General features: G+C 52.8%; 1 protein-coding gene and 1 long non-coding RNA gene across 12 annotated transcripts in view, besides 5 other annotated features; both read left to right on the top strand.

Annotated features, from left to right (window-relative positions):
- The window catches only part of IKBKG (inhibitor of nuclear factor kappa B kinase regulatory subunit gamma), a 23,809-nt gene extending 17,724 nt beyond the window's left edge, over window positions 1–6,085 (top strand). For 6 of the 11 annotated variants that reach the window (NM_001377312.1, NM_001377313.1, NM_001099856.6 and 3 more), the window contains exons 5-10: window positions 1,446–1,598; window positions 2,727–2,823; window positions 3,849–3,992; window positions 4,598–4,740; window positions 4,998–5,059; window positions 5,358–6,085. In NM_001377312.1, the coding sequence (NP_001364241.1) occupies window positions 1,446–1,598; window positions 2,727–2,823; window positions 3,849–3,992; window positions 4,598–4,740; window positions 4,998–5,059; window positions 5,358–5,500 (742 nt within the window). In that variant the 3' untranslated portion in view covers window positions 5,501–6,085. The remainder of the gene's footprint in view (window positions 1–1,445; window positions 1,599–2,726; window positions 2,824–3,848; window positions 3,993–4,597; window positions 4,741–4,997; window positions 5,060–5,357) is intronic. The other 5 variants (NR_165197.1, NM_001377314.1, NM_001099857.5 and 2 more) reach the window with 4 other exon arrangements.
- Window positions 5,039–5,540: an enhancer, noted in NCBI's record as "H3K4me1 hESC enhancer chrX:153792215-153792716 (GRCh37/hg19 assembly coordinates)". NCBI's record gives its function as "activates a minimal SCP1, AML or CMV promoter by ChIP-STARR-seq in naive H9 embryonic stem cells {active_cell/tissue: H9 hESC(naive)}" and the evidence as "EXISTENCE:reporter gene assay evidence [ECO:0000049][PMID:30033119]".
- Window positions 5,541–6,040: an enhancer, noted in NCBI's record as "H3K4me1 hESC enhancer chrX:153792717-153793216 (GRCh37/hg19 assembly coordinates)". NCBI's record gives its function as "activates a minimal SCP1, AML or CMV promoter by ChIP-STARR-seq in naive H9 embryonic stem cells {active_cell/tissue: H9 hESC(naive)}" and the evidence as "EXISTENCE:reporter gene assay evidence [ECO:0000049][PMID:30033119]".
- Window positions 9,859–10,737: a non allelic homologous recombination region, noted in NCBI's record as "IKBKG downstream recombination region IKBKG NAHR recombination sub-region, recombines with the IKBKG NAHR recombination sub-region within the IKBKG recombination region". NCBI's record gives the evidence for it as "EXISTENCE:Southern hybridization evidence [ECO:0000078][PMID:11590134, PMID:10839543]".
- Window positions 10,128–10,736: a mobile genetic element, noted in NCBI's record as "direction; reverse".
- Window positions 10,809–11,608: an enhancer, noted in NCBI's record as "H3K4me1 hESC enhancer chrX:153798001-153798800 (GRCh37/hg19 assembly coordinates)". NCBI's record gives its function as "activates a minimal SCP1, AML or CMV promoter by ChIP-STARR-seq in primed H9 embryonic stem cells {active_cell/tissue: H9 hESC(primed)}" and the evidence as "EXISTENCE:reporter gene assay evidence [ECO:0000049][PMID:30033119]".
- FAM223A (family with sequence similarity 223 member A) lies at window positions 12,287–12,999 on the top strand. Its single transcript, NR_027401.2, has one exon. It is a non-coding gene; the product is annotated as a family with sequence similarity 223 member A (long non-coding RNA).
- The last annotated feature ends 7,181 nt before the right edge of the window (window positions 13,000–20,180 follow it).

Here is a 20,180-nt window from a genome sequence, read left to right on the forward strand (position 1 = left end):
TGGCTGAGGTTGATGACAGGGAAAAAGGCACAGGGCAGGAGCCGCCAGGGCAGGAGCCGTGGGGGGAGTTGGAGAAGCCCTGTCCCAGCCTCCCGCTGCCCTGCGAGCGGCACAGTGAGAAGCGCCTCCCACACGGGCCGTGTTCCTGCCCAGGGATGCCCGCTAGAGACTCAGCGCCCTGGGTGTTTACTGGGGGCAGGTCCTGTCAGCGCCCTCTGCCAGGCAGGTACCTAAATCCCCGACTCCCAGCAGCAGAGCGGGTGCTCACGTCAACCACGTTCTTCCTACAAATGGCCTAGGTGCAGGGACCGACCTGACCACTAGAGAAAGTGTCACTGTGGCAAGGGAACTTCACCAGCCAAGGGCCAACCTTGCCAGCCGGTGGCCTCAGGCCTGCTGGTTACTCTCTTTTGCAAAGGGGTCTTGGTTCTTGTGAGTGGGACCATTGGGTCAAAGGGCAGGGAGGTTTCTGTGGTTCTCATTCGGTCCTGCTTCTGCCCTCCAGACAGATGGATCAGCTGCCAGGGGGGCCCCAGCCATCCCAGCACAGTAGGCGGTCAAGGTGCACTTGGGGCAGCCAGCAGGGCAGAGGGGAGGGGAGCTTGACCCAGGCTCTGATGGGCAGAGGGAACCCGTGCAGGGTGTGGGGGCAGTATGCAGGCAGGCGCGGAGGGGAGAGCCAAGCAGCCAGGCCTGCCAGGCAGAGTTGGGGTGACTGGAGAAGGGCCGTGTCTGCCTGTGGCCAGAGGCCACCCAGGACCTGGACAGATGCACCCACCATTGTCCCTGCAGTGAGGCTGTGGAAGGGCTTGGTGTGGTGGGATGAGGCCAGACCCTGGAAACTGGAGGTTAAGGGAGCTGTAGGGGGGCAGGTGTGGGAACTGAGCATCCGAGCAGGTCGTCTGGGACTCCAGCAGAGCTCTGGGCAGCAGCAGGGATGGGGCCGAGGCCCGGTCTGCATTGAGCTCAGTGCTTGCACGCCCAGGTGGGCAGTCTCTCATTTTTGGAACAGCAGTCTCTCCTGACCCCCTCCACTGAGACTGCTTTTGCTGGGGCCCCCAGCAGTCCCCCAGTGGAACTCCACGGGCAGTTCCGAGGGCTCCTCTCACCTGGCCCCAGCACTGCGGGATGCAGGCGACCCCATCCTTTTCTCGGACCACCCCCTTCCCCTGGCTTCCAGGTCTCCTTGCCATCTGTACTTGGTCACCTGCTGGGCCCCTGCATTGAAGCAAACACGTCTTAAGCAAAGCTCCTCACCTGCTGCTCCCACCTGGCCCCCTGCAGTTGTCCTCGTGTCTGTTGACGGTGCCTCCACCCTGCCGCCTGGCATCAGCTCGCAGTCACAGGGTGTTCAGAGCCGACCCCCACCCCCCGCCCACGCCCTGCGCATAGCCCCTGCCGTCCCCCCGTTCGTCCTCCCTGAGTCTGCTCTTTCCCCGTGCCAGGGCCCGGGCGGCCAGCGAGCAGGCGCGGCAGCTGGAGAGTGAGCGCGAGGCGCTGCAGCAGCAGCACAGCGTGCAGGTGGACCAGCTGCGCATGCAGGGCCAGAGCGTGGAGGCCGCGCTCCGCATGGAGCGCCAGGCCGCCTCGGAGGAGAAGTGAGTCAGCGGGGGCGGGGCCGCACCGCAGGGTCTGTGGTTCTACACTTGATCTTAGCCGAAAGGCTGAGAAGTGTCGGGTCCATGGTTCTTTCTGCCTTCTGAGGACTCCTTCAGATTCTGCCTGTGGCTGTGGGCCCATTCTGTCCCTTAGCCTTGCTAACGGTAGAGGCGACCATGATGACACCCGGTTTGTCTTTGATACAGTCATGCCATCTGCTCTCCAGACCACGTTTCACTGCGTGTCCACACGTGGCCTTTTTTGTAGTTTTTTTTTCCTAGCCACTAGGTCATCAGGGGACTTGTCCTTTAAAACCCCTTCTAGGCCAGGTGCTGTGGCTCACGCCTGTAATCCCAACACTTTGGGAGGCCAAAGTGGGTAGATGGCTTAAGCCCGGGAGTTCCAAGACCAGCCTGGGCAACAGAAAGACAACAAAAATACCCCCAAACCCCCCCGTCTACCAGCATCCAATCTGGGACCTCAGGTTCCTGTCCTTGGCGTGCCTTTTCAGTCTCCTTTAATCTAGAACAGTTCCCCTGCCTTTCTGAGCTGTTTGTGAAGTTCACAGTTTTGAACAGTGCAGGGTAGTTCCATTGTATTATTACTATTATTTTCAAGACAGGGTCTTGCTCTACCGTCCAGGCTGGAGTGCAGTGGCATAATCTCGGCTTACTGTACCTTCCGCCTCTTGGTCTCAAGCGATCCTCCCAGGTAGCTGGGACTATAGGCGCAGGCCAGCACACCTGGCTAATTTTTGCATTTTTGGTAGAGGTGGCGTTTTCCTATGTTGCCCGGGCTGGTCTTGAACTCCTGAGCTCAAGCGATCCTCCTGCCTTGGCTTCTCAAAGTGTTGGGATTATGGGCGTGAGCCACCGCGTCTGGCCGCGATTTTATTATAAACATTAAAAATACTAGCTTTTAGGAAAACGATATTAACTGCCTGGTGACCAGCCCACCAAAGCCTGCTTTAGAGTTGACGGCCTCAGGAGTCCTCACACAGCCTTGGAAGACCCCATTCCAGGCCTGTGATGCGAGGGAGGGAAGGAAGGGGGTAGAGTTGGAAGCAGGCAGCACCGTGGCTGGACTGGCATGAGGTGGTTTCTCCAGCAAAAGCTCCCTTTCCTCAGGAGGAAGCTGGCCCAGTTGCAGGTGGCCTATCACCAGCTCTTCCAAGAATACGACAACCACATCAAGAGCAGCGTGGTGGGCAGTGAGCGGAAGCGAGTGAGTGCGACCACTGGGGCTCTAGGGCTGGCCTTGCCTCTTCCTCTCCCCGTGGCCCTGAACCTTGAGAATGGGTAGACCTGCCTTAGACTTGCCTTAGACCTGTGTCAGGCTGCAGCTGCGACAGCTCAGGGAAGCTGTGGGGAGATGGCAACCCCAGGATGTTGCTCTCAGGAGTGTCAGCAGGCCATCTTAATGGGGGGCTGGGCCAGAGCCTTGGGGTGCTCCCTCTGTGGGGCTGGGGACGTCTTGTCTCCATGGACATTCCCTCTTGCCAGCCATCGCCATCTGGCACCTGGCTCAGCTTCCCCCAAGCCAAGGTAAGCCCGACAGCATTTCCACCCCAGTGTTGGCTGGGAGCCTTTTCCTAGTTTGTCCTCATCAGACCTAAGCTGGGGTGCAGTTTGCTAGTGATCACATTTTAGCAGGACACCGTCAATCGTAAGTGTACCCAGAGGAGATTTATAAGGACAAAGCCTGAAGCCAGGTCACATGGGGAAGAGTTAGCTACAAAACTGGCCACTTAATCTCTGGAGGGGGGCGTTGGTGGGGTGTGTCTGTGTGTGTCTCAGGGGGCTGGAGATGCCTGCGTGGGAGGAGTGCACCTCTGACCAGGTGGCAGAGTGGAAGGACTGAGGGCTCTCAGCTGAGCTGTGCACATGGCGGGCACAGGACCGGCTGGCTGTGAGTGGGTGTGGCCTGTGGCCTGTGAAGGGTGGGAGGAGGGCTGTGGAGCTGGGGATTCTGGGAAGGGAATGTCGGCCCAGCTGGGAGGTTGTACCAGATGACCTCAGCGGCCTCTTCAGTCCTGAAAAAAACCTCAGCATCTCCTCTGTCGTTTTGGGCCGTGACAGGACGCAGCCATCTCCCTGTGCACGCTGAGATCCTGCAATGGGCCCTCAAATCAGGGGCTGGCATCACCCAGCCTGGTCAGCCAGGGCCACTCTTTCATCCTTCTCAGTTCTTCTCAGCCAGCCTCGCCCTGGGCTGACGAGGCTCCGTCAGCTCCCCTTGCCCGTCCTTAGGGAATGCAGCTGGAAGATCTCAAACAGCAGCTCCAGCAGGCCGAGGAGGCCCTGGTGGCCAAACAGGAGGTGATCGATAAGCTGAAGGAGGAGGCCGAGCAGCACAAGATTGTGATGGAGACCGTTCCGGTGCTGAAGGCCCAGGTGAGGGCCCTCCTCTCTGACCCACCCTGGCACTGGGACCTGGAGAGTCTCTTTGGCGTCTTTTTTTTTTTTTTTGCTTTTGCTTTTTGAGATTGAGTTTTGCTCTTGTTGCCCAGGCTGGAGTGCCACTAGTGGCACGATCTTGGCTCACTGCAACCTCTGCCTCCCGGGTTCAAACAATTCTCTTGCCTCAGCCTCCTGAGTAGCTGGGATTACAGGCGCCTGCCGCCATGCCCGTCTAATTTTTGTATTTTTAGTAGAGACAGGGTTTCACCATGTTGGCCCAGCTGGTCTCGAACTTCTGGCCTCAGGTGATCTGCCCACCGCAGTCTCTCAAAGTTCTGGGATTACAGGCGTGAGCCACCGCACCCGGCCTCTTTGGCATCATTTTGTAGTGGCCTTTCGTAAGCTTCTGAGCCACTTGTGCTGCTCCTTAGACCTCTCGGTGAGCTTGGCATTACTCGCCGACGTATCTGTTTCCTCTGCGCCGCTGGGGGCTCTGGGAGGACAGCAGTGGGTTCTGCTTTGTTCCTGTGGTGCCTGGCGCAGTGCCTGGTGGGTGGCTGGCTTGTGGCGGGCACATCCCTTTCTGTTGGATTTGCCAGGCGGATATCTACAAGGCGGACTTCCAGGCTGAGAGGCAGGCCCGGGAGAAGCTGGCCGAGAAGAAGGAGCTCCTGCAGGAGCAGCTGGAGCAGCTGCAGAGGGAGTACAGCAAACTGAAGGCCAGCTGTCAGGAGTCGGCCAGGTGGGCCTCTGAGAGCGTGCCCGTGTGAGCAGTGGGTGCGACACTGGGGGGTCGCCAGTGGTGACCCCGCAGTGGGTGCGACACTGGGGGGTTGCCAGTGGTGACCACAGGAGACGGATGGCTCCTGGTGTTCTGGGTTAGGGCTCACTGTGGTCCCTCTCCTCTCACCTGAGCTTCCAAGAGCTGCTTTGACACTAGTCCAGCCAAGGAGCTTTACAGAAATGCGTGGCTTGACTGGACGGTTTCTGTTTCCAAAGGATCGAGGACATGAGGAAGCGGCATGTCGAGGTCTCCCAGGCCCCCTTGCCCCCCGCCCCTGGTGAGTGAGCGAGAACTGGGCCTGCGGGAGGAGGTGGGTGGGGAGGGCAGGTGCTGCGCCGCGGGAGGTCACAGTTCGACCTTCCTGTTGCTCTCTGGAGACTTGACGGCGGGAGCTCGTGTAGGCCACCCCATCGGTAGCCCACCCCCTTCCCCGAGGCTAAGGGAGGCATGCCGTGGTAGCGGCGGCTCCTGGTCTTACATGAGTGGCCTGTGAGACCAGGCCTGCCATTGACAGTCCTGCCAAGTCTCCGTCCCCCTCCATCCTCCCCTTCCCTCTGACTCTTCTCTTTTCCCAGCCTACCTCTCCTCTCCCCTGGCCCTGCCCAGCCAGAGGAGGAGCCCCCCCGAGGAGCCACCTGACTTCTGCTGTCCCAAGTGCCAGTATCAGGCCCCTGATATGGACACCCTGCAGATACATGTCATGGAGTGCATTGAGTAGGGCCGGCCAGTGCAAGGCCACTGCCTGCCGAGGACGTGCCCGGGACCGTGCAGTCTGCGCTTTCCTCTCCCGCCTGCCTAGCCCAGGATGAAGGGCTGGGTGGCCACAACTGGGATGCCACCTGGAGCCCCACCCAGGAGCTGGCCGCGGCACCTTACGCTTCAGCTGTTGATCCGCTGGTCCCCTCTTTTGGGGTAGATGCGGCCCCGATCAGGCCTGACTCGCTGCTCTTTTTGTTCCCTTCTGTCTGCTCGAACCACTTGCCTCGGGCTAATCCCTCCCTCTTCCTCCACCCGGCACTGGGGAAGTCAAGAATGGGGCCTGGGGCTCTCAGGGAGAACTGCTTCCCCTGGCAGAGCTGGGTGGCCGCTCTTCCTCCCACCGGACACCGACCCGCCCGCCGCTGTGCCCTGGGAGTGCTGCCCTCTTACCATGCACACGGGTGCTCTCCTTTTGGGCTGCATGCTATTCCATTTTGCAGCCAGACCGATGTGTATTTAACCAGTCACTATTGATGGACATTTGGGTTGTTTCCCATCTTTTTGTTACCATAAATAATGGCATAGTAAAAATCCTTGTGCATTAGTCGTGCGTATCTTTGGCATAGATTCTGAGAAGTGACACCACTGAGCATGGGCGATGGCGTAGATGGTACCTGAGCCCCCTTCCTCCTTGGAGCTTGGTTTCCCATCTCTCCCCACCCCCTATTTCCCTAGCCTTGCCAAGGAGGAGGTGGGAAAGCCCGTTTGGGTTTTTGTCATTCGCTAGGCCATGCAGTTCTCTGTTAAGAGTGAGCTTAAACATCTTTCCTGAGGCTTTAAGGACCTTTTTTAGTTCTGCTTCTGAATGGGCTGCTCATATCATATATATATATGTATATGTATAGTTGTGTATATGTATGTGTGTGTGTGTGTGTGTGTGTGTATTTTTTTTTTTTTTTGAGACAGAGTTTTGCTCTTCTCGCCCAGACTGGAGTGCAGTGGCGTGATCTCAGCTCACTGCAACCTCTGCCTCCTGCGTTCAACCTATTCTCCTGCCTCAGCCTCCCTAGTAGCTGGGACTACAGGCGCCTGCCACCACGCTCGGCTAATTTTTGTATTTTTAGTAGAGATGGGGTTTCACCATGTTGGCCAGGCTGGTCTCGAACTCCTGACCTCACGTGATCCACCTGCCTTGGCCTCCCAAAGTGCTGGGATTACAGGTGTGAGCCACTGTACCTGGCCAATTTTTGTATTTTTAGTAGAGATGGGGGTTTCAGCACTTTGGCCAGGCTGGTCTCAAACTCCTGACCTCAGGTGATCTGCCTGCCTCGGCCTCCCAAAGTGCTAGGATTACAGGTGTGAGCCACTGCGCCCCGCTGGGCTGCTCATATCTTTTATCCGTTTTTCTACTGGGTTATCTTTTGTTGCTCAGCTTTTAGAAACTCTTTGTCCATGAGCAGGATTGGGTTTGTGGCTGTGATAGAAATTGCAGATATCTTTTCCTGCTTTGACCTCGCTACTAGTGTTTCTTTGTTTTTTGTTTTGAGATAAGGTCTCTGTCACCCGGGTGGGAGTGTAGTGGCACAATCAGAGCTCACTGCAGCCTTGACCTCCTGAGCTCCAGCAGTCCTCCTGCCTCGGCCTTGCGAGTAGCTGGGATCACAGGCGTGCGCCACCACACCCTGCTAAACTACTGGTGCTTCTCAGCCTCGAAGTTTTTTTTTCTTTATGTAGTCACATTTATCCATTTTTTCCCCCTTTTACTGCTTTGACTTTGGAGTCGTCGTGACCACCTTGTGGTCTGTGGGAGGGATGCTTCACACATGAGCACTTTTCTTTTTCTAACACCGAAGCGTGCTCTTGTCTTCACCAAGAGTGTTGTTGCCCAGTGTGACTGGTGATGGCTGTTTCATCATATTCCAGAAGTTTGTGATGCCATTTCCCACACTGGCCCCAATTAGGAAGAACAGACGACTCTACTTGTTTTGCAAGATTCTGGAAATTTCCCGGGGTGTCAGAGCCCTGGGCATTAACCCTGCAATTGTAGCAAAGGAAACAAAGTTGGAAGTTGACTCCCCAGCACCCGGGCCTTCCTTCCTGCCCTCCTCCAAGCTGCCCTGGTTGGGAACGGGATATTGTGAATCCACCCTGAGGCTTCCTCACAGGGCTTCCTGCTATTTGACAGTGTGAGGCTGGCTAGAATTGGGATATGAGGCCTTCTAAAAATTAACCTGGCCTGAGGGCTTTCTCAGCATCTGGGGGCGGGGTGTGGGGGCGGGGAGTGACCTTTCCCCTTCTTCAAGCCAGGTGCCCATCAGATTCTACTTGGGAAAATGTGAAAGGCACAGACAGCTTGTCTGCTCACGGGTGCTGCACTTAAATCCTAATCTTGCAATTTTTCTACAAGAGCACTTTACATTTTTTTTTTGGAGGGAGGGTGTATGAGTAGACGGTGGCTGCTGTAACAAAGGACTGCACACTTGGGGCTTAAAACAACAGAAACTCCTTCACAGTGTTGGAAGCCACAGTCTGCAATCAAGTTGTCAGCAAGGCTGGTTTCTTTTTTCTTTCTCTTTCTTTCTTTCTTTCTCTTTCTTTCTTTCTTTCTTTCTCTTTCTTTCTTTTTCTTTCTCTTTCTCTTTCTTTCTTTCTTTCTTTTTTCTTTCTTTTCTTTCTCCCTCTCTCTCTCCCTCTCTCTCTCCTCTCTCTCTTTCTCTCTTTCTTTCTTGTTGGATACAGTCTTGCTCTGACACCCAGGCTGGAGTGCAGTGGTGCCATCTCAGTTCACTGCAACTTCCGCCTCCAGGGTTCAAGCAATTCTTGTGCCTCAGCCTCCCGAGTATCTGGGATTACAAGTGCCCGCCACTATGTCCGGCAAGGCTGGTTTCCTCTGCAGGTGCCAAGAGAATCGTTTACAGGTCTCTGTCTTAGCCTCTGCTGGTTGCTTATAGAGCCATCACCCTAGTCTCTGCCTCTGTCATCACACAGTCTCTTCCTCTTCGTCTGTGTCTTCCCTTTTGTCTCATAAAGGACACCAGTCATTGGATGTAGGGCCCACCTGGATAATCCAGAATGATCTCCTCATCTCGGCATTCATTACATCTGCAAAGACCCTTTTCCCAAAGAAGGTCACACCCATAAGATATGCACGTATCTCTTCAGGGCCATCACACAACCCAGTATGGGGACATGTTCCAGTGCACACAGATGAGGGCAAATGCAGCAGCAGTGCCTGGGAGCTGGAAAAACACCCCTGCTTGGGCCCCCTGGACCAACCGAGTCAGAATCTTGGTCTAGACCCACCAGGCATTGGTCTAGACCCACCGCCCTGCCCGGAGGTGGGGCTGCCTCCTCCCTCCTCCGGTAGCACAGTGTAGGGTTGACCATACACCAGACACCAAGGATTTAAAACCATACCATTTGCGCAGAAGTACGGCATTCCAGGGTTTTCCTTTTCGGCTTTACTTAGGTTGAGCTTCCAGAACAACTGGTTGGATTACTCTTGGGAGGGAACCAGCCTGCCTGCCCTATTGGCTGCGGCCCCTTGATCCACAAACGAAGCCCATCCCTGCCGGAGCTTGTGGCGTTCTCTGGTGTTCATGCGCGCTCCCCCTCCTGCCGACCAATGCACAAGAACAGTGCGGGCGACCAGTAAGCACAGTGAGAAAGCATTTCACCCTCATCAGTAACTAAAACAACAGCAAGTCTGACGGCAAGCAAAAAGTGATCTGAAAATGGCAACCGATGAAGCCCTAGGTGAGCGCTCTGCTGGCAAGGTGCAGGACAGCGGCCCTTGCAATGCTGCCCTTTCCGAGGGGGCCATTTGCTGGGATGGAGCAAGCCCGTAGGCAGCGTCCTCAGCCCTGGTGCGTAACCCTAAGAGAGAGTCGGGCACTCAGCGATGACTCTGGCATTGGGAAGGTGCTTCACTTCGTCATTTGTAGCTGCCAAAGGTCGGGGTGAGATAAGAGGCTGCGTATGTAACGATGTGGTCCGGCACAGCTGGCATTTTGAACATCTCCTCACACGCAACATGCCTTGTAGCATGTTGGTGTGAACAGGCCAGGTGACAAACTTATGGATAAAGCGTGACCCCAATAGAGAAGTAAAAGCTCTGAGTGCATACCCTGCTAACATTTGGACGGACGTGAGTAGCTGGGTGGCCAGTAATGAGAAGTTTTCCTTACATGTTAGTACCTTTCCTAAATGCCTATCATTTGCACGCATTCCTTTGATACACAGAGAATACGTCTTCCCACACAGTCGCTCGGGTGGTAACGCAGCTTGGTTTTCTTCTGTGCCAGTGGCAGGGAAGAGCCCGCTGTTGACACAGCCTCTCAGCAAGGCACGGGGCAGGGGCTGACTGTGTCTCCTGGGGCTGCCGTGACCAAGCACCACAGACTGCGGGGCCGAAGCCACAGAAACGCGTGGCCTCCCGCTTCTGGAGGCCTGGAGGCTGAGCTAGCGGTGGTGTCGGCAGGGTGGGCTCCCCGCCAGGGCCGCGAGGGAGCTGCCTTCCAGGCCTCTCCACGGCGCCGGGGGCCGCCGGCTGCACCTCTCCAGCCTCCATCTCCGTCATCCTGTGGCCTTGTCCCCGCGGGCCTCTGTGCCTGTCCTCCTCTTTTGACAAGAACACCGGAGATACACAAAGGTACACAAAAGCGGGCCTTTGTTCAAGCTGGCAAAAGAGATCTTCTTCAGAAACCCCTGCTTGCGGGGGAGAGAGCTGAGCTCCGTTCCCGCCCCAGCAGAGGCGGCCTGGCCTTGCGAAGGGAGAAGGAGGGAGTCGGGAGGGGGCGAGTGCAGGCTCAGGTGAAAGATGACGGGGCAGCCAGCGTCCTTGCCGCGAGGCCAGCCGTGTGTGGGAGCTGCCGGTGCTTACCAAGGTTGGGATGCTTCCGTCCCGTGGAGACTGGGAGACTGGGCCCCGCGCCTCCTGAGGTTTCCGTTTCCAAGGAGTGGCTGCGGGGCCCTCGGGAAAGCCCCTGGGTTGTGGGTGCTACACAGATGTCTCAAAGGGACAGGGTAAGCCCTTTGTAGTAAATGCTGTCAGAAAGGGAGGTCAGGTGTTGGCCGGAACAGACAGTACATGCTCTGGGCAGCCCTGAGCGTTTCCAGACGGGAACTCACTCAAAAGGGGGCTGGGGCGTCCCAGGGGCGCGGCCTTAGGCTCCCAGAGGCCCCGCGAGGTGGTGGCCGGGTGTCTTCGGGCAGGGGTTTGAGTGCAGTGTGCCTGCCGAGAGGTTCTGCAGTTCCGAGCACCATCATTTTCTCCTCCTCAGACCCCTTGGTTCTCCTTCCACGTCCTGGCAGCTGCTTCGCAGGCTCCTTGCTGGTTCCTGTGTCTCCGAGCTGACTCCCGAATTCTCTTCCTCTCCTTGCTCAGACACTGCCCCTTTGTGACCTCGTCCATCTTCAAGGCCTTGATGCTGATGACAGATTTCTGTCTTCCAGTCCTGATCTGTTCCTTCACGAAAATGAGCCCAGTAGCCCGTCCAAGCCAGAAATGGACTTTTAGCCCCCACCCCCTGCCAACTCTGCCCTTTCCCTCATCCCCAGTTGCTTAAACCAAAACGGATTCCTCTTCCTCTCATGATCCAAACTCCTGAGTCCCTTCACCTTTTGCCTACACTATCACAGTGACCTCCTTGCTGCTTTCACACTGGAGAGCGTGGGCTCCCTGTGATCTACTCTCCACATGGCAGCCAGTGTCATCTGGTAAACCTTTGCTGAAACCCTGCCATGCCCTTCAGTTGCCCTGGAAACCTGAACTCATCCTCAGCCTGGCTCGCAGAGCCCTCATGCCGCTGGGACGTCACGTTATGTCCCTCTCCTGCTGGCCCGCTGCACCCAGCCGCACCACATGCCGGCCGCACCTCACACACGCTGGCCTCTTGGCCCTTCCTCGAACACACGGCGCTTGTCCTTGTTGTCCCCTCATCTTTGCATGGCCGATTTCTTTTTCTCATTCAGCTCTAAGTTTAAACTTTCAACAGTTCTAAGCGTATCACCTTCTTCATCTTAAAGTCCTCATCCTAAATCACACTGCACTGTTTTAACTCCCAGCTTGGCAGTCCAAACGGCCTCATTTATTCTGCTTTGTTTTCTCTCTCCTTCCACCAGAGGGAGAGCAGAGGCCTCCTCCAGCTCAGTCAGGCACCATCCCCCGGAACAGCGGTCTCCAACCTTTTTGGCACCAGGGACCGGTTTTGTGGAAGACGAGTTTTCCACAGACGGGGATGGGGCGTGGGATGACGGTTCGGGGATGAAACTCTTCCACTTCAGATCATCAGGCATTAGTCAGATGCTCCTAAGGAGCACACAACCTAGATCCCTCGCACACACAGTTCACAATAGGGTTTGCGCTCCTGTGAGAGTCTGAGGCCGCTGGCTGATCTGACAGGAGGCAGAGCTCAGGCGGTCATGCGAGCAATGGGGAGCAGCTGTACACACAGATGAAGCTTCGCTCGCGTGCCCACCACTCGCCGCCTGCTCTGTGGCTCAGTTCTTAACAGGCCACAGACCAGTATCGGTCCGTGGCCGGGGGGTTGGGGACCCCTGCCCTAGAACGATGCTCGGCACAGCTACACTCGGTGCACATTTCTTGGTGGCCTGAGCTTGTCTTGAGCTCCATCAGGATTTCTCTGTCAATATTTTTGTAGACCATACCCTGTCACCATAAATGGTGCTTGGTAGAAATGACTGTATGCATGTGATAGGGATAACACAGAAAACCCATGGTAGAGAGCATGGCGACTAACTTGGAGGGACTTCTTTTTGTCTTTTTTTTTTTTTTTTTTTTTTTTTTCGTTTTTGCAGAGATGCAGGTATTGTCATGTTGCCTGGGCTGGTCTCAAACTCCTGGGTTCAAGCAATCCTCCCACCTGTGCCTCCCTAAGTGTTGGGATTACAGGCATGAGCCGCTGCCTCCCCGCAGCATGGGGGGACTTCTTATAAGCATTTTTATTTATTTATTTGGAATTCGGATGGATAGATCATGTTGGCCTGATAATGTATGTGCAAGAGCACAGACTCTGGGGTCTCATGGACAAGCCCCACTCTGCCCCTTGCTTAATGTCTCTGAGCCTCAGTTTCCTCATCTGTAACAAGGGCAGAAATGCCATCCGTGTGCAGCAGAGTACCGACGAAAGGATGGATGCAATGCTCTTACGGCAGTGCCCCACCCAAGGCACAAGGAAAAACCACGAAAGCAATTCCAGTTTACACCACGTCCCAAACTGGATTTTCCATTCGACTATAATTCCTCCCAATAAGGGCTCAAAACGTTGTCTAAGGAAAGTCGATTGGTTGTTGCCCAGGGCTGGAGGAGTTGGGGGAAAACGGGGAGTGACTGCTGATGGAGACAGAGTTTCCTTTTGAGATGATGAGAATGTCCTGAAGCTGGTCATGCTGATGGTTGCACGTATCTATGAATATACTAAAAACCATCGAATTGTACACTTTAGACATGTGAATTGTGTAGCATGTGAATTAAACCTCAAGTCGTTATTTTAAAAATGTTGTCTAAGACACCTGGGCGCCTCCTGTAAGCTCCCATGAAAATGCAAATGAAGACACAGAAGAAGACCAACATTGAACATTTACATCCTCTCCTAAAGCTATGTTTGACAGGTGACCTTTTTTTCATCCTTCCTTCCTTCCTTCCTCTTCCTTATTCCTTCCTTCCTTACTTCACTCCCTCTTCCTTATTCCTTCCTTCCTTCTTTCCCTCTTCCTTATTCCTTCCTTCCTTCTTTCCCTCTTCCTTATTCCTTCCTTCCTTCTTTCCCTCTTCCTTATTCCTTTCTTCGTTCCTTCCTCCCTTCCTTCCTTCCCTCCTTCCTTTTTTCCTTATTCCTTCCTTTCCTCCCTTCCTCCCTCCCTCCCTCCCTCCCTCCCTCCCTCCCTTCCTTCCTTCCTTCCTTCCTTCCTTCCTTACGTTTTTTAACAGTAGAGACAGGGTCTCACTGTGTTGCCCAGGCTGGACTCGAACTCCTGGAAATCAAGTGATCCTCCCACCTGGGCCTCCCCAAATGCTGGGATTACAGGCTTGAGAACTGGCAGGGAGAATGGGCGACTTTGTGTTGTGAAGCAGAGTGACCCTACTCTGTCCTTTCCTCAGAGACCCAGGGTTGGTACCAACCAGGAGACTAGCAGCTGCTCTTCTACCCGGCCCAGGTTGCTTTCTCTATAGTCATTGAGAGGGAAACCCTCAAACAGAAAGTGTGTCAGCAGGGGGCAGGCAGCTGATGGATGTCATTGTACCCTTGGAGGAACAGAACTCAGCGGTCACAGGAAGCGGGGAGATCCAGGGATTCCATCGGTCGCGTTGGTTCCGAGTGTCGCAGGCCTGAGGGGAAGGGGTGAGATTTGCTTTCTCAGTCTAGGAGAGCCAAAGTCGACAAATGTGTGCTATAGCTGGAAATAAGTCTTCTCCCGCACCTAGCGGGCGGTGGTCAGGGTGGTCTGTCTGTCCATCCCCGAAAGCACTGCAAGACCTGCCATCTGTTTCTGGTGATGCTGGGTGGTATTATTGAGACAGATATTTCTGCTGAAAATAACTGCAAATGATAGATGAAACAGTTTGAGACTGTTCAAAACAGCTGAGAACCAACAAGAGAGCAAAACCTGAGAGGAAGTGGGAATCCAAGAAGAAGTACGCCACTGAAGCTGCTTATTTCCCGAGGACGCTGGCCGACCTGGGCAAACTTGGGTTTTGGTTCTGGAGGCCGTCCAGGCAAGGGAGACAGCAGGCAAGGCCCAAAGCCTTTGTGAAGTGTGGGGAGTTGTATAGCAGCCCCCGCTACATTAAGGAAACCCCACCCCAGCTCTGCAGATTGCGGGGAAGCAGGAGATGAAAGGAAAGGGAAAACACCCCTGTGCAAAGTTGTGGCCAAGGGCCAGGTTCTGTGCAGACTTGCAGTCTAGGTTTTCCTGGTGGGGCCGTTCAGTGGCCCTCGAGTCCTAAATTTGGTCTGAGGTGGTCCTGGGCCGACAGTACCCATATTAGTTTTCTAGGGCTGCCGTAAGAAATGGCCACAAACTGGGTGGCCGAAAACAACAGAAACGGATTCTCCCGTGGTTCTGGAAGCTACAAGTCTGGAATCCAGCTGTCAGCAGGGTTGGTTCCTACTGGAGGCTCTGTGGGAGAATCTGTTCCATGCCTCTCTCGTAGCTCCAGGTGGTTTCTGGCAATCCCTGGCACTCTCTGTCTCATAGAGACACCGCTCCAATCTCTGCCTCCTTCTTCGTGGGGTCATCTTCCCAGTGTGTCTGCCTCTCTCTCTTATGAGGACACTAGTCACATTTGATTAGCGCCCACCCCAATCTAGTATGACCTTAACTTGATTACATCGGCAAAGACCCTATTTCCAAATCAGGTCACATTCCCAGGCACCCAGGTGTTAGGACTTGAACATACCTTTTTGGGGGACACAATTCAACCCACAACGGTTACCCCAACGGATGTGTGGATTCGTGGGAGCCTGGGGTTGAGATGCAGTCTCCACAAAAGTTCCTGAGTGAGAGCATGTCCTTTGCAGGAGCGTGGATGGAGCTGGAGGCCATTATCCTTAGCAAACTGACGCAGGAACAGACAACCAAATACCACATGTTCTCACTTATAAGTGGGAGCTAAATGATGAGAACACACGGATACATAGAGGGGAATGAAACACACTGGGGCCTTTTGCAGGGCGGAGGTTGGGAGGAGGGAGAGTATGAGGAAAAATAGCTCATGGGTGCTAGGCTTAATACCTAGGTGATAAAATAATCTGTACAGCAAACCCCCATGACACAAGTTTACTCATATAACAAACCTGCACATGTACACCTGAGCTCTTAAAATAAAAAGAGCGATGTATTAATATAACAACTTTAGGAGCACTGGGGGAAAAAAGTTCTTAATGACACTGAGCAGTGCACATAAAAACTAAGCACACCCAGGGCAGGAAAGAGACCATGAGACTAAGAGTTCAGATGCTGGAGGCTGGGTGCAGTGACTCACACCTGTAATCCCAGCACTTTGGGAGGCCGAGGTGGGCAGATCACAAGGTCAGGAGTTCTAGACCAGCCTGGCCAATATGGTGAAACCCCGTCTCTACTAAAAATACAAAAATTAGCCGGGCGTGGTAGTGGGCGCCTGTACTCCCAGCTACTCGGGAGGCTGAGGCAGGAGAATCACTTGAACCTGGGAGGTGGAGGTTGCAGTGAGCCGAGATGGCACCATTGCACTCCAGCCTGGGTGACAGAGAGAGACTCAAAACAGATGCTGGAGCACCACACAGATGACAGAACAACTGAACTTTAAAAACTTAAAAAAAAAAAAAAAGGCTTGTGAATATCCACAGGGAATAGGGAATATATATATCCAAAAAGTAAAAGCTGTCTAACTTTTTATTTCTTTGTTTGTTTGTTTATTTATTTGAGACAGGGTCTCACTCTGTCACCCAGGCTGGAGTGTAGTGGCACGATCACAGCTCATTGCAGCCTCAACCTCCCGGGCTCAAGCGATCCTCCCGCCTCAGCCTCCCGAGTAGCCGGGACTACAGGCGCGTGCCATCACGCCCGGCTAATTTTTTATTTTTTCGTGGAGATGGGGTTTCGCTATGTTGTCCAGGCTGCTCTCGAACTCCTGGGCTCAAGCCATCCTCCCACCTTGGCCTGCCAAAGTGCTGGGATTACAGGCGTGATGAACTCAATTTATTTTTCTCTTTCTAAAAAATACCCATTTGCTTTCTCTGTCCCCTGAAAAGCCTTCAAAGCAATGCTAATGCCATTGCAGCTGGCACCAAGACTATGGACTGAAGTGCTCCCTCTGGAGGTAAATCTGAGACATGACCACAGCGTTTGTCAGGAGGACACTGCTGCCAACCAATTTGAGTTGCCATTGGCTACGAATGGAGCATCAGAAGGAATAATGGCCCTTCCTGCCGGCTGCTCTGCTGGTCTTCCTTCCTGCCTCTCTTCCTCGGTCCTGTCCTTCTCCCCCTCTTCTTCCAAAAGCCCCTGGGATTGGGGGCCCACTCAAGGAAAGCGTGGAGGGCAGCTGGGGACCAGTGTGAAGCACGATCCTCCGCTGAGCGCAGCAGTGTCCTGCACAAGGAAGTTTTGTGGAGTAAGGAAGGGAGTCGGCGAGGGTGACTGTGTCCTGGGGAGGGGTCAGGGGTCCAAGAGAGGAACGTGTGCCAAGTTGGGTGGTGACCTGATGGGCTCAGATGGTTGACTGGCTTTGCAGTAAATATATGAATGATGTAGGGACCTGGCTTTCTCACCGTTTGGAAAAGGAGTTGCAGATATGAAAAGAGAGAAGGCTTGAATGTGGATTCGATTTGGAGTTGTTGGTGTGAATTCATTGATCTAGTTTGGATGTTTGTCCCCACCCACATCTGATGTTAACTTGTAATCCCCAGGGCTGGAGGTGGGGCCTGGTAGGGGGTGTTTGGGTCATGGGGGTGGATCCCTCATGAATGGCTTGGTGCTGTCTTCGTGATAGTGAGTTCTCGAGAGATCTTGTCATTTTAAAGTGGGTGGCATTCCCCCCGCCCCGACACACACACTCTCTCTCTCTCTCTCTCTCTCTCTCTCTCGCTTGCTCCTGCTTTCGCCATGAGATACACAAGCTCTTGCTTTGCCTCCCACCACAAGTAGAAGCTTCCCGAGGCCTCTCTAGAAGCTGGGCAGATGCCAGCACTAGGCGTCCTGCAGAGCCTGCAGAACCAAGAGCCCATTAAACCTCTTTTCTGTATAAATTACCCAGTCTCAGGTATTTCTTTATAGCGGTGCAAGAGTGGCCTGATACACTGATGGCTTTCAATATACAGATAGGTATAGAAATAAGCATAGCTGTAAAATAGGGCTGTGTGTATGGGTATTTCTCAGCTCCATCACTTAGAAGGCCTGGGACCATCTCAATAGCAGTGAGTTGACTTAGTGCCTGGGTCTCGATTTCTAAACAACCGTCTTGATTAAAAAGAACAGAGCTCACTAGAGAAATGACTGATTCCAGGGCTAGGGCAGAGAAAGTCCAAGATTAACTGGATCATCTTGTTGTCCCAGAAAAATAAGGAAGTGCTTAAAGAGCAACGGAGACACATTTAGCTGGACTAAGACAGAGAGAGCGAGGACTAAAATCAGAAATGAAAGTAGCCACATTACTACTGACCTTACAGAAATAAAAATATGCATGAGAGCACGGAAACGTATGACTTCCTTTACTTCATTCTCCTCCTTTACTTCTGAGTTGGTCAAGAATTAGAAGCAAGAGTTTGGGAACACTTTGCTAAAGGGGTTTCTATTCACTGTTGCAGATATAGCTAAGCTATAGATATAGATATAGATGATAGATAGATATAGATATAGATATAGATAGACAGATATATAGAGAGAGACCAGGTCTCACTTTGTCACCCAAGCTGGAGTGCAGTGGCATGAACATGGCTTATTGCAGCCTTGACTTCCTGGGCTCAATGCCATCTTCCCACGTCAGCCTCCAGAGTAGCTGGGACCACAGGCGTGCGCCACCGCGCCTGGCAAATTTTACAATTTTTTGTAGAGAGTGGGTACAGCCATGTTGCCCAGGCTGCTCTCAAACTCTTGGGCTCAAGCAATCTGCCCAGCTCGGTCTCCCAGAGTGTTGGGATTACAGGCATAAGCCACCATGCCCGGCCAATTGCAGCAATAATATTCTTTTGCAAAAAATTTGTTCATCGTTGGTACCGAAGAGCTGTTGAACATCCTATTATTGCACAGGAGGCATTTATCGTGGTACAGGCCAGGGTTTTCTGCCCCAATCAGGGTCTGATGTTACGAGGTACGTGGAGAGATGGGTAACCTTAACAGTGTCACCTTTTTCTTACTTTTCCCCAACAACTCATCTCATTTATTCATGTTTGTGTTTTGCAGACAATTGGAAATAACACGTCACAGTTACAAGCACCATTACATATGATGGTGGTATTTCTGATCCTAGACAAAGACCACTTGAGTTCATTACAACCCCTATCAGCCATGGTACTTTGGGCCAGTCACTCAGCCTCTCTTAGTTTTAGCTTCCACGTCTATGAATAGGATGACAATAATATTCTGCATGCTTGCTCTGAGGATGGAAAAGATAATTTCCCTTTTTTTAGAGTCAAGGTCTCGCTCTGTCGCCCAGGCTGGCAGGAGTGCAGTAGTGCAATCACAGCTCACTGGAGCCTCGACCTCCTGGGCTCAAGTGATCCTCCCACCTCAGCCTCCCGAGTAGCTGGGACCACAGGCATGAGCCACCATGCCTGGTGGGAAAGACAGTTTTTATAATGACTTTTATCCCTTTTATTTTTTGACAAAACCATGTTTTTGTTCACTACTTCAAGGTGAATGATGTCCTCCCAGTTCCAAATCTAGTGTCTGATTTGAGGGCTAGCTAGCCACTGGATCAACATTGGAGGAAAAACAGCTGTTCTCTGATTTGATCTTATGCTTAAGCAGATTTGCTGGAAGCTTGCACACCTGTTATCTTTGAAAAAATAAATTGGTTATTGGTTAATTTTTTCCCCAAACCGTGATACAATGAGTTATGATTATAGCATGACATACGTGTACACCTCAAAATCATTGTGTAGTACAAATCGCAAAACTTATAGGAAAAATGGGGTTAGGGACACAATACTCAAAACCTTTGTCAGTGACACATAAAAAAACGAAGATAGGAACCTAATGAAAATGGTAGCACAATTCTATGCATGTTAAATGGTTAAAAAATACCTAAGTGCTGCAGCAAGTACGGCACTTCACCTTGAAAAAGACCTGAAGTTTGCTTGTGGAAATGGCGGTGGAAGGGTTGCAGGTCATGAATTGGTGAAAGGAGGGTGTTCTGAAATTGGACAGAAAGTTGTAACACCAGATGCGGACTAGTGTGGCTTATAATACGTGTGCTGAGCCGAGGGAGTGGAGTAAGGTGGGAATCCCCTGGGAATTTAAGTGAACACTGATCAAAATGTTTGTTTCAAACCAATTCTCTTGTATTCATTACGTTGGCATTTAGGAATGAAGTGATGTTTCCATGACCTATGTTGATTGAAAGACCAAAGATTTTGTACCTGTTGAGTCTATGTCTTTACAGTGCAGTAAATTTGTACTTCTGAGTTTAAAGATTAGGTCAACAATTGGGTATTTAGCAAGGCACTCTGGGAAACAGAAAAACTGTAAGACAGTCTCTGCCTCCGGGCGACCAACTACTTTTTAAAAATTCAACTGGAGTCTATATAAAAGAGGAAATGAAGGCGGCCTGGTGCAGTGTGGCTCACGCCTGTAATCCCTACACTTTGGGAAGCTGAGGCGGGAGGACTGCTTGTGTCCAGGAGTTTGAGACCAGCCCGGGCAACATAGTCAGACGCCATCTCTACAAACAATTTTAAAAAATGAGTCGGGCGTGGAGGTGTGCACCTGTAGTCCCAGCTACTTAGGAGGCTGAGGTGGGAAGATGGATTGAGCATGGGAAGTCGAGGCTGCAGTGAGCTGTGATTGCACCGCTGCACTCTGACCTGGGTGACAGAGTGAGACCTTGTCTCCAAAAAAAACAACAACAAAAAGAAGAAATGAAAATCTAGAAAAATACGTGAAATCTTTTCCTGTCAAATGTTTCCCCCTAAGCTTTAATGATCCTATTTCATTAAAGGAAATATGGGAGAATATTGATGACTGGCAGCACGTAGTGG

The sequence above is a fragment of the Homo sapiens genome, chromosome X, assembly GCF_000001405.40.
Source record: "Homo sapiens chromosome X, GRCh38.p14 Primary Assembly".
Classification (NCBI taxonomy): Eukaryota; Metazoa; Chordata; class Mammalia; order Primates; family Hominidae; genus Homo; species Homo sapiens.